The sequence below is a fragment of the Homo sapiens genome, chromosome 5, assembly GCF_000001405.40.
Source record: "Homo sapiens chromosome 5, GRCh38.p14 Primary Assembly".
In the NCBI taxonomy this organism is placed as follows: Eukaryota; Metazoa; Chordata; class Mammalia; order Primates; family Hominidae; genus Homo; species Homo sapiens.
The window spans coordinates 90,038,689-90,041,278 of NC_000005.10; positions in this window are offsets into that span (position 1 = coordinate 90,038,689).

Below are 2,590 nucleotides of genomic sequence, written 5' to 3' on the forward strand. Positions count from 1 at the left end.
AGAAAGTCATCTTCACTTGCCAGCCAGAATTCTGCTTTTCTGAATATGTGCTTCATCCACAATATAGAGTAGTAATTTGGAATCAATAGGAGAATGAAGATAGGTTCATAGATAAATAGATAGGTAGATGATTGATAGATAAAGTGATGCTATGATTCTAAGTTTTCACTCCTCCATATTAATCTTATAAAAACTGAAGATATATTTAAACAAAAATTATTTTTACTACAATAAGTATTATTTAACCCTCTGCATTAGTTAGGATATGAAAGACTATATTATTATAATAATCTCAAATTTTCAGTGGCTTAATACAACACATGTTGATTTATCTGTTATGCTAAGACAGCTGAAAACCCAGGTGACTCTCACCACAGCTACCCTCCATTCAGGGACCTAGTAACAGGATGCTTTGATCTAGTAGCTTGCCATCTCAACACAAGGCCTCCTCTATCCCACAGGAAGAAGAAAGAGTCTGGAGAATCCAGAAGGACCATTCTATGCCTCAGACTAGGAATGACATGCATGACTTTTACTCACATTTCACTGGATAGAATTAGAAATTAGCATTTCCTATCTGCAAGGTGAATGAGAAGTATGTAGTCTTTCCTCAAGAGGAAAAGGAAAACCAGATGCCCATGAATCATAGGGCATTCATAGGGCAAATCTCCCATCACAAATTATTTCAGTTTCTACTCCAGCTGGAAGAGGAAACACCTAGAGGAATTCATGGATATCCTCCTCAGATACCCACATTTAGGAAATCTAATTGCCTGAATCTTTCTAATATCTACCCTCCCTACACTGAGTGCTTCAGAAGTCTCCTTTACACACACCAAAAAACAAAAGGGTGAATGGGTTATTAGAAGTTTTCTTTTTTTATTATTATACTTTAAGTTTTAGGGTACATGTGCACAACGTGCAGGTTTCTTACATATGTATACATGTGCCATGTTGGTGTGCTGCAACCATTAACTCATCATTTAACATTAGGTATATCTCCTAATGCTATCCCTCCCCCGTCCCCCCACCCCACAACAGGCTCAGGTATGTGATGTTCCCCTTTCTGTGTCCATGTGTTCTCATTGTTCAATTCCCACCTATGAGTGAGAACATGCAGTGTTTGGTCTTTTGTTCTTGCAATAGTTTGCTGAGAATGATGGTTTCCAGCTTTATCCATATCTCTACAAAGGACATGAACTCATCATTTTTTATGGCTGCATACTTTTCCATGATGTATATGTGCCACATTTTCTTAATCCAGTCTATCATTGTTGGATATTTGGGTTGGTTGCAAGTCTTTGCTATTGTGAATAGTGCCGCAATAAACATGTGTGCATGTGTCTGTATAGCAGCATGATGTATAATCCTTTGGGTATGTACCCAGTAATGGGATGGCTGGGTCAAATGGTATTTCTAGTTCTAGATCCCTGAGGAATCGCCACACTGACTTCCACAATGGTTGAACTAGTTTACAGTCCCACCAACAGTGTAAAAGTGTTCCTATTTCTTCACATCCTCTCCAGCACCTGTTGTTTCCTGACTTTTTAATGATCACCATTCTAACTGGTGTGAGATGTTATCTCATTGTGCTTTTGATTTGCATTTCTCTGATGGCCAGTGATGATGAGCATTTTTTCCTGTGTCTGTTGGCTGCATAAATGTCTTCTTTCGAGAAGTGTCCATTCATATCCTTCGCCCACTTGTTGATGGGGTTGTTTTTTTCTCGTAAATTTGTTTGAGTTCATTGTAGATTCTGGATATTAGCCCTTTGTCAGAAGAGTAGATTGCAAAAATTTTCTCCCATTCTATAGGTTGCCTGTTCACTCTGATGGTAGTTTCTTTTGCTGTGCAGAAGCTCTTTAGTTTAATTAGATCCCATTTGTCAATTTTGGCTTTTGTTGCCATTGCTTTTGGTGTTTTAGACATGAGGTCCTTGCCCATGCCTATGTCCTGAATGGTATTGCCTAGGTTTTCTTCTAGGGTTTTTATGGATTTAGGTCTAACATTTAACTCCTTAATCCATCTTGAATTAATTTTTGTGTAAGGTGTAAGGAAGGGATCCAGTTACAGCTTTCTGCATATGGCTAGCCAGTTTTCCCAGCACCATTTATTAAATAGGGAATCCTTTCCCCATTGCTTGTTTTTGTCAGGTTAGTCAAAGATCAAATAGCTGTAGATATGTGGCATTATTTCTGAGGGCTCTGTTCTGTTCCATTGGTCTATATCTGTGTTTTGGTACCAGTACCATGCTGTTTTGGTTACTGTAGCCTTGTAGTATAGTTTGAAGTCAGGTAGTGTGATGCCTCCAGCTTTGTTCTTTTGGCTTAGGATTGACTTGGCAATGCAGGCTCTTTTTTGGTTCCATATGAACTTTAAAGTACTTTTTTCCAATTCTGTGAAGAAAATCATTGGTAGTTTGATGGGGGATGGCATAGAATCTATAAATTACCTTGGGCAGTATGGCCATTTTCACGATATTGATTCTTCCTACCCATGAGCATGGAATGTTCTTCCATTTGTTTGTATCCTCTTTTATTTCATTGAGCAGTGGTTTGTAGTTCTCCTTGAAGAGGTCCTTCACATCCCT